This window comes from Homo sapiens, chromosome X (genome assembly GCF_000001405.40).
Source record: "Homo sapiens chromosome X, GRCh38.p14 Primary Assembly".
Classification (NCBI taxonomy): domain Eukaryota; kingdom Metazoa; phylum Chordata; class Mammalia; order Primates; family Hominidae; genus Homo; species Homo sapiens.
The window spans coordinates 12,137,489-12,151,294 of record NC_000023.11 but is presented as its reverse complement, the minus strand read 5'-3'; the positions used below and the strand labels follow the sequence as shown (position 1 = coordinate 12,151,294).

General features: G+C 40.9%; 1 protein-coding gene across 11 annotated transcripts in view; it reads right to left on the bottom strand.

Annotated features, from left to right (window-relative positions):
* Window positions 1-13,806, bottom strand: part of FRMPD4 (FERM and PDZ domain containing 4) — a 902,085-nt gene that overhangs the window by 573,229 nt on the left and 315,050 nt on the right. For 3 of the 11 annotated variants that reach the window (NM_001368399.3, XM_017029983.2, XM_047442680.1), the window contains exon 1: window positions 13,530-13,806. This exon is cut by the window's right edge and continues 74 nt beyond it. The exons of 4 other annotated variants lie outside the window; for them this stretch is intronic. In NM_001368399.3, the coding sequence (NP_001355328.1) occupies window positions 13,530-13,561 (32 nt within the window). In that variant the 5' untranslated portion in view covers window positions 13,562-13,806. Of the gene's footprint in view, window positions 1-12,282; window positions 12,830-13,529 lie in introns of those variants that run through there. 4 more of the 11 variants (NM_001368401.1, NM_001368396.3, NM_001368397.1 and 1 more) reach the window with 2 other exon arrangements.

Sequence of the window (13,806 nt, the reverse complement as noted above, 5' to 3'; positions counted from 1 at the left end):
ATGTTATTTTTTGTGTATCCTTCCAGCCATTGTGATGCAAATACAAGAAAAAATATATGTTCCATCTCCCTCATCTTTTTAAAGTTTTTTTTAACCTTACTATTTTCACTTAACAATAAACGTATTCAGAGATCTTTCTATATCACTCCATAGAGCATTTCCTTCTGCTTTTTCACAGGTAGTGCTATATTTTAATTTTTAAGCAAAATTCTCATAGGCCCTTTTCTTAAAATTTGTTCATTCAGTGTGACATTTCAAAAGAGCGATAAAAAACTAACTCTGGGTCAAATATATATATTTTAGCAAGACAATGCCTTTCACTTAGTATAGTATTTCACTTTTGGGTTTTTTAAAACTTCATTTTCCCAATATACTGTATGCAAAATACCTGATCATAGGTTCTTTAATATCACATTAAGTATAAAAAAACTCCCATGATCAAATATTTAAGTATTTTACAATACTTAACTGGCATGAAAACAATATTAGTCTCTTTGTACATCTCCCTCAGAGCACTTGGGTGACCAGGTACATTGTCAATGGGCAGTAATATTTTGAAAGGAATCTATTTTTCCTGAACAGTAATATTTTACAATACTTAAAGATTTTTCTGATTGTAAAAGTAGGATGCTTTTATCGTAAAAAGTTTTTAAAATATAGAGCATATAAAGAAAAGATACATAAATACTTGAAATTCTATCAGCAATGATATCACTTAGCCTTCTATTTTCTTTAAACTTTATATCTATTTTACAATATTATCTACAATTCTCTCCTGGCACTAAAGACAAAATGTATATAATTAGAGAAGACTAGGACTTTCAGGACTAGAAGGAAAGGAAAGAAAAGAAATACGAGAATGAGAGGATATGGGCCCAGATATAGGGCTGGGTCCCAAGCTGTAGAGGTAGGGAACAGTTCACTGCCAAGGGTAAAATGGCTACAATAAATCAGCAGTGACAGCAGATCCTAAAAATCGGAAGGAGCAGTGCAATCTGATGAATGACGTACAGAAGCAGGCATACCTGTGATAATCAGTATTGGACATCATGTGGAATACAGTATGGTTTCACTCTGATTCATTCACAATTCGCCAAATATTTACTCAGTACAGACATACCTCAGAGATATTGCAGGTTTGGTTCCAGACTACTGCAATAAAGCTAATATTGCAATAAAATGAGTCACATAATTTTTTTGGTTTCCCAGTGCATATAAAAGTTACATTTATACTATATTGTAGTTTATTAAGTGTGAAATAGCATTATGTCTAAAAGAACAATGGCATACCTTAGTTTATAAATACTTTATTGTTAAAAATATGCTAATGATCATCTAAGCCTTTAGTGAGTCGTCATATTTCTGCTGGTGGAGGGTCTTGCCTCCATGTTGATGGATGCTGACTCATCAAGGTGGTGGTTGCTGAAGGCTGGGGTGGCTGTGGCAATGTTTCAAAATAAGACAACAATGAAGTTTGCTGTGTTGACTGACTCTTTCATGAAAGATTTCTCTGTAGCATGTGATGCTGTTTGATAGTATTTTACTCACAGAACTTCTTTCAAAATTGGAGTCAATCCTCTCACACCCTGCTGCTTCTTTATCAACTAAGTTTGTGTCATATTCTAAATTCATTGTTTTTATTTCAACAATGCTCACAGCACCTTCACCAGGAGTAGAATCTATCTCAAGAAACCACTTTATTTGCTCATCCATAAGAAGCAACCCTTAATCCATTCAAGTTTGATGATGAGATTGCGGCAATTCAGTCCCATCTTAAGGCTCCACTAAGTCTAGCTCTCTTGCTATTTCCACAACATCTGCAGTTACTTCCTGCACTGAAGTCTTGAACCTCTCAAAGCCATCTATGAGGGTTGGAATCAACTTCTTCTAAACTCCTGTTAATGACATTTTGACATCCTCCCATAAGTCATCAATGTTCTTAATGGCATCTAGAATGGTGAATCCTTTCCAGAAGGTTTGCCATTTACTTTGCCCAAATTCATCAGAGGAATCACTCTCTATAGCAGCTATAACCATACAAAATATATCTCTTTTTTTAAAACTAGTCAAGTGTAGTACTGAGAATGTGGAAAAGAGTAGAACAAGAAATTCAATCTCTAACTGACTGTGAACAATCAATTGAGATAACTCACTACCTTCAGATCAGCCAAATTCCTTAAATAATGAGACTTGGAAGTCAAAATTACTCATTGATCACTGGGCTGCAGAACAAATTTTGTGTTAACGGGCATGAAAACAATATTAGTCTCCTTGTACATCTCCCTCAGAGCACTTGGGTGACCAGGTACATTGTCAATGGGCAGTAATATTTTGAAAGGAATCTATTTTTCCTGAATATAAGTCTCAACAGTGTGCTTAAAATATTCAGTAAACCATGCTGTAAACAGATGTACTGTCATCCAGGCTTTGTGGTTCCATTCCTAGAGCACAAGCAGAGTAGAGTTAGCATAATTCTTAAGGGCTCTAGAAGTTGTGGAATGGCAAATGAGCATTAGCCTTAACTTAAAGTCGCCAGCTGCATTAACTCCAAAAAAGAGAGTCAGCCTGTCCTTTCAAGCTTTGAAGCCAGGCATTGACTTTTCTTCTCTAGCTATGAAAGTCCTAGATGGCATCTTCTTCCAATTGAAGGTTAGTCTACACTGAAAATCTGCGGTTTAGTGTAGTCATCTTCATCAGTGATCTTAGCTAGGTCTTCTGGATAATTTGCTGCAGCTTTTCCATTAGCACTTGCCGCTTTACCTTGTACTTTCATGTTATGGAGACAGCATCTTTCCTTAAGCCTCACAAACTAATCCCTGCTAGCTTCAAACGTTTTATCTGCAGCTTCCTCACTTTTCTCAGCCTTCGCAGAATTTAAGAGAGTTAAGAGTCTTGCTCTGGATTAGGCTTTGGCTTAACGGAATGTTGTGGCTGGTTTGATCTTCTATCCAGACCACTCAAACTTTCTCCATATCAGTAATAAGGCTGTTTCACTTTCTTATCGTTTGTGTGTTTCCTGGAGTAGCACTTTTAATTTCCTTCAAGAGCTTTTCCTTTGTAGTCACAGTTTGGCGAACTGTTTGGCACAAGAGGTCTAGTTTTTGGCCTATCTCAGCTTTCAACATGCCTTCCGTACCAAACTTAATTATTTCTGGCTTTCAATTTAAAGTGAGAGATGTACAACTCTTCCTTTAACTTGAACACTTGCAGGCTACTGTAGGGTTATTAATTGGCCTGATTTCAATATTGTTATGTCTCAAGGAACAGGGGAGCCTGAGGAAAGGGAGAGACATGAGGGAATGGCTAGTTGGTACAGCAGTCAGAACACACACAACATTTATCAATTAAGTTTGCCATCTTATATGTGTGGTTCATGACAGCCCAAAACAATTGCAATAGTAACATCAAACAATTCCAATAGTAACATCAAAGATTACTGATCACACATCACCATAACAGATATAATAATAATAATGAAAAATATGACACAGAAACACGAAATGAGCACATGCTGTTGAAAAAATGGTGCTGACAGATTGCTTGATGTGGAGTTGGCACAAACCTTCAATTTGTAGAAAGTGCAGTATCTATAAAGCACCAATAAACCAGAGTGCAATGAAACAAGGTATCCTTAAATCTACTATAAACCAAGGAGGTTTAATACCAGGGGATTTGCCCTTGAAGAGTTCATAAATGAGACACAGATCAAAACTGGACTCAATTATAATACCATCTATACCAGTCAGCCATTGCCACAACAATGCTGCATAACACAGTGTCATACAAGAATAAGCATCTGTTTTCATGCTCACAGGTTTGCCTGATGGTGCTGGTCCATGTGAATCTAGCTTCTAGGACCAACAGGTTAAACTAGGCAGTTCTTCATATAGCAATGTTAAGAGCTTTTTGCTTTTTTACATTCTTTTTTAGAAACGTACAATACCTTAAAGGCATTCTCCTACCAAAAACTTGTACCAAAACAGATACCCTGTGACTTCTGTCCATATTCCACTGGCCAAAGCAAGTTACTTGGCCAAGCCCAACAGCAATGGGGCAAAGAGGTACCCTCTACCTCTAGGAAGTAGAACTATAATGTCACATGGAAAAGGCTTGGATTCAGGGAAGATTTAAGAATTGGGAACAAAATTACAATCTACCACACAATGAAGAAATGTTGTGAAAAGAGCAGGGCATGACATGTCCAGCACAGATAGGGTACACAGTGGCACTAAACTTCCCAGCTTGCCTCACAGTTACATAGGGTCAGAGTTCTGCCTAATGGAATGAGGGTAGAATGGTATACTTTGATTCTGGGCATAGCCCTTAAAAACCTGTCACCCAATCTTCTACCATTCTCTCCCCTCATCTGTCAGCTGAACACTGATGTGCAGGAAACCTTCGATAGCATACTGAAGATGAGATAGTCCTATCTTACAGGTTCTCAGAATGGCTGAGCATATCAGAGCTCCCCCACACCATCAGGAATGCCTGTTTTGTGTATCAAGCAAACAAGAGATGGGCCACAAAAATTGAGGGATTGATCTGTTAAAGCAGTGAAATTATCTTCGCTAATAAAAGATGTCAGTCGAGCTATTTAACCCAGGATTGGGAGGTTGGAGAAGGTGACATGGAACAACCTTAGATTAAAAGCTGAAATATAAAAGACAGATAGGAATTTTTCAGGTGTAAAGGAGGCAAGATAAAGATTGTTCCAGACAAAATGAAGAGTTTATGCAAAGGCTCAGGGTGTGGCACTTTTTAGGACTTCTAAAAAATTCAACATGGTTAGGGGTAGATGTGTGTGTGTGTGTGTCTCTGTATGTGTGTGTATACACGTGTGTGTTTGGTGTTGAGTAGGAAGTTAAGGCTGGAAAGGAGGAATAACAAGTTCAGAGAAATATGGTTCTCTTTTTCTTTTCTTTTTTTTTTTGAGACAGAGTCTCGTTCTGTTGCCCAGGTTGGAAGCACAGTGGCGCAATCTCAGCTCACTGCAAGCTTCGCCTCCCAGATTCAAGCTATTCTCCTGCCTCAGCCTCCCGAGTAGCTGAGACTACAAGCGCCCGCCACCACGCCCGGCTAATTTTTTTGTATTTTTAGTAGAGACGGGGTTTGACCGTGTTAGCCAGGATGGTCTCGATCTCCTGACCTTGTGATCCGCCCACCTCGGCCTCCCAAAGTGTTGGGATTACAGGCGTGAGCCACCGCGCCCAGCCCGAGAAATACAGTTCTCAAAGGAACCAAGTGAATCAGGCCAAACCCAAAAGGGTAAGGATAAAGAATATGGATTTTCCCCTCAAAAGTATGTAGACGGAGGGGACAGGGAGGATCCAATTTGCACTTTACAAAGCTTCTAAGTTAACCTACAAGTGGTATTGTAAGTGCTGACAGTTTAAGTCCCCCAGAGCGGGGCTGGCAAGGGTGACTGTGTTCAGGGTGAATCTCCAACCATATCCATCCTTCCCCCTGCTAGTAAAGAAGGCTGACACCCAGACTGCCCCAAAGGGAAATTTGAGTACTGGGCAGAGAGATCAAAGAAGAACAGTAAAATACCCATGTAAAGGGCAGAGAGTAAATATTTTAGGCTTTGCAAGCCATGTGGTTTCTGTCACAGCTATCCAACTCTCCCAAGAGCAGCCACAGTATACAAACAAAAGGGCATGGCTGTGTTTAAATAAAACTTTATTTATAAAAATGGTCATAAAGCTTTCTAAAATAAGTAAACACATCAGATGGGTTAAGTTTGCCAGCCCTGGCCCTAGGCCATGAAGCAGGACATCGCCCTGAGCCACAATTCAGTTGGGCATGTTTGGGATTTACACCAAAACTAATTCCAGACTCCACCACTGTATAGCTGAGACTGCTAACTGCTCCTGTACTAGGGTAAAGACCGGTGACTTGGATCGTGAACTTCAAAAGAGACAAATATCCAGGACTCCAGTTACAGGAACCATTGTAAAATCACCATGGTCAGTATGTTATCCAATGTTGAATCAATACAACAGCCTTGAATCAGCCAGATGGCCGCGTGTTCTCCCCCACACCAGTCTCTGACCAGATAAATAACTGTGCCAGTTCAATAGAAAAATACACTCATTCCTACATTCATTAGGAAAATTTTACCATTAATTTTATGAACTTTTGCCTACTGCTTTCTTTGAACCTCATCTTTGTCAGGTAATCATGTTCTTATTTTCAATTAAGCAAATCTCATAAAACTTGTGAAGCCTATAAAAAATAACCAAAATAAAAATTAAAACCCTATAGTAAATTGTAATTGCAGGGAAATTACTTTTCATTTTCAAACTTTGGAAACATTTCTTTCATAGAAATGATTGTGTTTTCCTAGCTTTCAAAAAAGACTTTCTAAAATAAAAACTTACTGACATCTATAAAAACCCATTTCAATATCATCATAACTTTGCTTATTGAGCTTAAAGCAGTAAAACAGAGACTCCTTGGAAATACAAGTTGATGACTTTTTAACCATCAATCACCAAATATATATATTATATTTTATATATATAATATATATATACTTCAAATGTAAAAACAGAAATAAAAGTTTATTCTCTGAGACCAAGTCCAAGAGCAGGCTATTTACTTTTAACATGTACATTGTATTCCGTTATATTCAATAAAGAAGTACTGACATGGTAATTGTTCAGCTAAACAAATATGACAATTTGTTTGCAACAAATGTTAGAATGAATTGTATATGACTTCACTCACTAATTATTTAGTATAGACTATTTATCTTATGCCAAATTCTGTAAACCATACTTGAAAATATATTTCTGAAAGAACAGTTCTGGCAGAAAACCCTTCTCATCTCTTTGCCAGGAAAAAAAAAAAAATGGGAATGTTAACTTTGTTATCTAAAACTAAGGCTTAGATTTCTTCAAGATAATTTTCAGAGCTTAAGTACATAATGACCTAAATTACTCAGAAGCAAGGCAGCATACTTTTGATATATGTTTTTGCTGTAAAGAACTAAAGGTAGTCTATGATTTCTCATTATAATGCTCTCAGTCAAATCATAGGAAAGTTAGATTAAACTCAACTCCAAATTGATACAGCCTACCTCCATTCCTCTGACTACAACTAAATCCACTTATCTGGTTTTATTTCCATTTGGAAACAGATTAGTGAAGGTCATTAGCCATTAGGACCAGATGGCTCAAGTGTACTGTAAGGAAATACTAGGCATTCTCCTGTTGACTTGATTATCAGTTCACCAGCACACATTGGTTGAGGCTATACAAGTAGTATCACCCATTCTTTTTCCATACATTTTGAACTGGATATTTATGGAAGGCAAACATCACCTTAACAAGCAACTCTCCAGCTCCCCAAAAATATCAGGTCAACTTAGTGACCAAAGAATAAGCATGCATAATTTTTCCAAGTGCAACAAATTAGTAGGACAATTATGTCCACTTCTAATGGTCAGTTTCCAACAGTTCAAGAAGTAATTTGAGATCAGAAGTTTCAATAAAGATAAGGTCTATATTAACTGGTAATGTGCATTAGTGAATTCAAGTATTTATTATAATATGCTCAATTTGACGTGTGTGCCCGCATGTGTGCTGATAATGATAAAGAAGCGAAAACAGGAAAAGGCATTGTTTAACCCAGGGGTCAGTGAATTCAAGTATTTATTATAATATGCTCGATTTGACATGTGTGTGCCCACATGTGTGCTGCTAATGATAAAGAAGAGAAAACAGGAAAAAGGCATTGTTTAACCCAGGGGTCAGTTAACTTTTTCTGTAAAGAGCCAGAGAGTAAATATTTTAGGCTTTGTAGGCCATAAGGTCTCTGTGGCATCTATTCAACTTTGCTGTTGTCAGGCAAATGCAGCCATAGATAATACATAAATGAATGGACATGTGTTCCAATAAAACTTTATTTATGGACACTGAAATTTTAATTTCATATTATTCTTTTTTTGATATTTTTGAACCATTTAAAAATAAAGAAACCATTCTTTGCTCACAGGCTATGCCATAACAGTCAGCAAGCCAGATTTGGCTCATAGGCCACAGTATGCCAACCCCTGTTTTAGCCTATTCATAATTTTCTTTTCCTGCTATGATTAGCTTTCAAGATTAAAGATCATTTGATGGTAACAGTGGTAGATTTCAGGACGGTATGCTTAAACAAAGATTTTAAACGGTCTTGAGTTTTCTTATTGAGCCAAGTGTGAAACCAGTGGTTTCAAGTTCATTCCTTAAAGATACATTTCTAGTTCACCAATAATGTACATTCTCTTACAGCTAAACTTCCACGGTTAACCTCAAATGAAATAACAAAGTACTAAAGTTGAACAGTGTATGTGTATGTAAAGGGGGAGAATGAACAGCTGGAAGGACCATAAGCAGAAAGTGAGACTTTCCAGGTCATGCATTTAAAGTACAAGTAAGTTTCACTGCAGCTGTCAGTCTGTACCAAATTCTGATAGCAAGAAGGTGAAACTCACTTGCCCCAGACAATAAGAGAGAGAGAGAGAGATGCTTGAAATGGTACAAAGCCTGACCTAGACGCCTTCTTCCCAGAACTGCGAGCGACTAGACTTTCACAGCTTCAAACTAGCAACTCTTGGGAAACTAGAGTTAAATATTCCTAAAACAGGAATCTAGTTCTGTTATGAAACTGTTCATCATTTCACCTCCTGACAGTCACAAAAATCAGCAGAACTTAGAAAGGATTCAGAAGATGAGCAAGTAGCATTTTTAATAAAATTCAAATCCAGAGTCTTTGGGGTTTTTTCATTGCTAGCCTCCAGAGCTCACTATTATCAGCAATATTAATACAATTACTCAGTAAAAATAGGGGATATGGGAAAAACCCTGACCTTTTGCATTACTTCTTTAACTTCCCCTTTTCCCTGGGAAATATTTAATTCTGAATAAGATAAAGGTAAAAGACAGAAGTTTAGTAGTATCTAAATGGACTTGACATAAAAATCTAAGGAAACTATACATATGTATTTTGTATTTTTCCTCAAATATAAGATACTTGTAAGAAAATTAGCATTCTAATATTAGATATTAGTCACTGCTATATACCACAAAATAACCCATGCAACTATAAGAAAATGCAAAGTAAAGCATTCCCCAAATTTACCTACTACTATAAGAAATCATCATATCAACAGTGGGGACTCAATCATTATCATCAAGTCTACCGTTTTGCTTAAAGAAAAGAAGCCAAATCAGGGACTTAATCTATGAACATATCACTCAATTTAATAACATCCCTATGAGTTTTGGATCTCAAATCATCTCCCTCTGGCAAAAGGGGCATAATCATATGTTTTTCTACTGGACTGCATTCTTCTATAAACATTTGAAAGAATGCATCTGCTTTACAAATAAAATAGTCAATACAAAGAGCAGTAACAATAAAAATATATGCCTGTTTTTATACTATTACTGGTTTATAAGGCAATCATCTGTAATGCTCTCATCTACAAGGATGGAAAATAATATAGAACTGTTACCAAGGAAACAGTGAAGTAAAACTGCATGTAAACTATCAAGCAGTTTAAGAACCAGAAAATTAGAAGAACGGGAAAAACCATCTTCAGATAGAACCATGACACACTGTGCCACCCACGAAGGATGCAATCAAGGGTCATAACTCTAACTGATGATGTAAAGGGTGCCAACTACTTACCAGCAATTCCAACACTTGGCAGCAATTTTTTTTTAATGGTACTGGGTTATTGAGGGGCACTGTCAATTCTGATTTTTCCCACGATTAAAAGGGTATAGATTCTGGAAACGAATAGTTAAATGTAGACACTCTAAAAAGTCAAAATATGCAGTTTATTTATTCCAGTGTCGAATAATATTCTCTTGGAATTCTCTGTAATTACACTGTCTTTACTCACAGATAGGACACTAAGCAAATATCACTTCCAAGATATGCCTTCTGAATTAACATTTAGAAGCTCAAGTTTGTAGGAACCAAAGGTAAGGCCAGGTACCCAGGGTAACTACATGTGTTTGCCTCTAAACCAAGAGAATTTTAAGCACTGAAGTAACCATGCTGATCAAAGCTAAATCCTTTAGGAAGATTATCCATTCTGAAATCAGGAAAATCCTGCAGTATAAGCACTTTCATACTTCACCTTTGAGAAAAGAACTTGCTTTCTGTAACAGTGTTTAAAACACATACAAGACTTTCTTCCTCCCAAGGCAGAAACAAGCAACTGCAAACATGTGTTTTTACATGCTGATGACCCTCTAAAGGTACTTCTATCTCAGCACGGGGACCATCCTCGGGCTCACACTAAAGAAAAAGAAGAATTCTATGGATGGAAGATTTCTTAATCGGCACATCAGCTCAGAACATTTGCACCTTCTGTCTTTAGAATAAACACTCTACTGGATCACATTAAGGATAGAAAGTGAAACTCACACTCATTTACTAAATTTTAAACTCTCTTTAAAATAAGATACCACTCTCCCCACAGCCTTGCTTGAGTTTTGCAAAAACTCAGATTTGTGAATATCATGTAGGCATCCTAGAATTTAGTAAAAAGAATATGAAACATCTTTTCACTGACACATGACACTGTCCTCTCCAAAGTTCCTAAGTTTAAGGACTAAATCGAGGCTCTAGATGTTTTGTTAAACTGTTTTTAGCATCTGAGGCCACCAAAAAGTATCCTGGTTACTTTGAACTATACTATTGGTTGAACTTCCCTTTCCCTTTAGCAGTATCTCTGTCCATCACACGGAGGGTACCACTTAGCCTCTAAACTTGCACACAGCTGCTTCCCAACCATGGTTCAATATTTGACAGCTGTTTAGAAACTAGCCCTAGGCAGAAGCATGCAGGAAGTTAATAGAATAGTGGTGTGAAGCAATGGCCCTCTATGAGATCAGCTTGAAAGCAAACAATTGGCCACACCACAATCATCCACTGCTTAACACATCAGTCTTCTGATCTGCAGGACAACACCTCTTCCTGAGCTGCTCTAAGACACAGGTATTTACCCATCAACTGCGTATCTCCAGTCTACTTAGAGTAAGCTGCACTGGGCCTTTCTGCCTGGGGAAATCTGCTAGTGGCATGAAGACTGACCCATGTTAGTAGAAAGGGAAGGTGGAGATGGGCAGGCAGAACAAAGACCTGTAGATGTCGGAGAGAATGGCAACATCCAAACAGAACCTTTCTGAAGTGGTCTAATGTAATTTAATAAAGCAAAGTCAACATACGTTTCTACCTCTGACTATTGGAAGCTGCTCATCCCTGCCTGATGCAATCAACACATCTCACTCTGACACTCAGGACTGAAGGAAAACCTGGGATTATTCTGTCCATATTGCAAGTAAGTTTTTAAGCTACATCCTGGAAAAACCCAACTGTCTACCTCCTACGTCCTGGTGGTAGCTGCTATAAAGAGCTCCAGGGGCAGAGAAGGTTGGGCATGGTTTTCTAAGACCACTCCTATTGGGCTCTTCCCAATTAATGCCACATAGCAAGCAGCACAAACCTTACTCTGTGGCTCAAACGAAGACTTTGGAAGCATAAGCAGGGCAGAAGACCTGGAGGAGTGCTCTGGCCAGGCAACACCTAGGCGGCCCAAGCGTGGAAATGTTCCTCTTTTATCAGTACTACCCAAAAATGTCTGAATCGATGATTTAGTTTTAGCTACTGTTTTAACAACATGGCCACTTAGAAGAAAATTTCTAAATCTTTCGAGGCTTAAGAATATAGTTACCCCCCCCCCAAAAAAAAAAAGGCTGAAAGTCTTTCTCTTCTATCTACATGACTTCGCCATCTAGGTTACCGTTGGGAGCACCTGGTCAATCTAGGAGCTGACTTTGTGGAGGTGTGGAGGTGTAATTTAGGAGTTGGGGGAAGGCGGCACTTTTGGTCTTTGCAGCTTGGAAGGCAGGCACCCAAGCTCCAAGCACTTCTGGGTTTCCCTAGCAGTAGCAATTACAACCATCTTCTCTTAGCCCTGAATTATACATGGGACCCCAAACACCGCTGGGGCTTTTCCTTAGGGAAAACAAACTGTCGTGAATGTCGGTGTGTTGGTGAGGGCATGTATGTACCTCTCTGTGTGTGGTCTACACCCGCCGCTACACAAGCCTCAGCAGCCAGTGAGAAATAAGTTGAACGTGGAAGCCCCCGGCCACTTCGTTTGTCTTAAGCCCCGTCGCGCTTTCCAGCTTTTGCCTCTACCCAGCCTCCCGAAAAATAAGGCACCAAGTTGCCCGCGGCAGCGGCCCTGGGTGCAAACGGAACCCGCGCAGCCCCTACCTCGAAAGCTTTGCAATCTTCACAAAGCTGAAGACATCCATGCAGGCAGCTGGGGACCCCCGAGCGCGACAACTCCGTCGCCCCTTCTCACGCCAGCAACAGCAGCCTCCGCAGCCCCATGGCCAAGACCTCAGTGCGCCCGGGGCTCGAGTCGCGGCGACAGCGGGTGGCGGCGGCGGCCGGAGAGAACCTGCACCTGGAGGCGGCGGCTGCTACCCCCCTCCGGCCGCGAGCTGCGTGTGCATCCCCGAGCAGGACCATTGATAGGCACCCGAGGCAGGAAAACTCAATGGAGAGGGAGCCAGGCAGGGCGCAAGAGGCGGGGGCGGGGAGCGCGGCCCGGGTCTCGCGCCCCGCCCCGTGCGCTCTAGCCCCGGGGACTGCCGGGCGTCCAGAGAAAGCGAGGCCTGGGCGAGAGGCGCTGCTCTGGCTTCCCGGCCCTCGGACCCTCGTGCCCCACGCACCGAGGAGCGCAGACGGAGCCGGGAGACGGCAGGCGAGCTGGGCACACGCGCACGCACCCCTCGCAGCACTGCAGCTGCCTCCCTGCCTCCTTCTCCAAGCCGAGTCCCTGCTCCTCTCCCCACCCCCACCCGCCCGGGGGGAGGGGGCACTCTCCTGTCACCCACTGCGTGTGCCTCTAGATCTGAAGGATCTGGTCTAACAGTCTATGGCACACTGGAGAACTGTGAACGCTACCCCTCCCTCCCCAAGCCGAAGGAGAGCCGTGCAACCGCAGGTTGCTCAAAGCCTCGGTTTGCTCCGTAAACAAAACTAGCGTTCGGAAGGAGCAGGGATGATTGAGGTTGGGTCGTTTGTCAAGGGGAAGGGAAGGGAGATGCCAGGCGCAGCGGGCTCGATTCGGGGAGCTCAGAGTTCCCACTGCTTCTCCCGAATCGCTGGGGCGAGACGTGACCACTGGGCTGGCTGGGAAGGTGTGTCTTTGGACAGCAGCACCGCGGGAGTGTCTGCCAAATAAGAACCGGAGGCATTTGCGGGTAGGGGGATGAACACAGCTGCTCCCTCCTCGAGGAGCATAGAGCGGAGGGTCCCAGGAGCCCGTGATGCGGAGGCTAATTCTAACCGGGCTCAGAATCTAAGGAAAGAGAAGGATTAGAATGGGGTCTGCCACGCAGAGCGAGCTGCTTTTGCACACTGAGCCTTGGGTGAAGGGAACAGGGAAGAAAAAAACAAAACAAAACAAAACCTTGCCGGAGAAGCAAAAACACAGAAACATAAACACTCACCTTAGGCAGAGTAAACTCCAAGTTGCAGCCATCTAGAACTCCTCCTAGCCTTCTCTTTTACATAATTACCTTGGATAATCAGCCCTGTTCATTAACTCAGTTCTACCTCCTGGGAGGCTCAGGCTTCATTGGGCCCCTTTTTCTTCTTCCTCTTGAAGTCTCAAGGCCTCTTCTCCACAATCCTTTAAAATTTCCCCCCAGACTGTGAAGGTCAGCTGGCCGCACTAAGTGTGTGCTCTCCCACCGGCAGCGTTCACCTGGCGGCAGGGCCACCGCA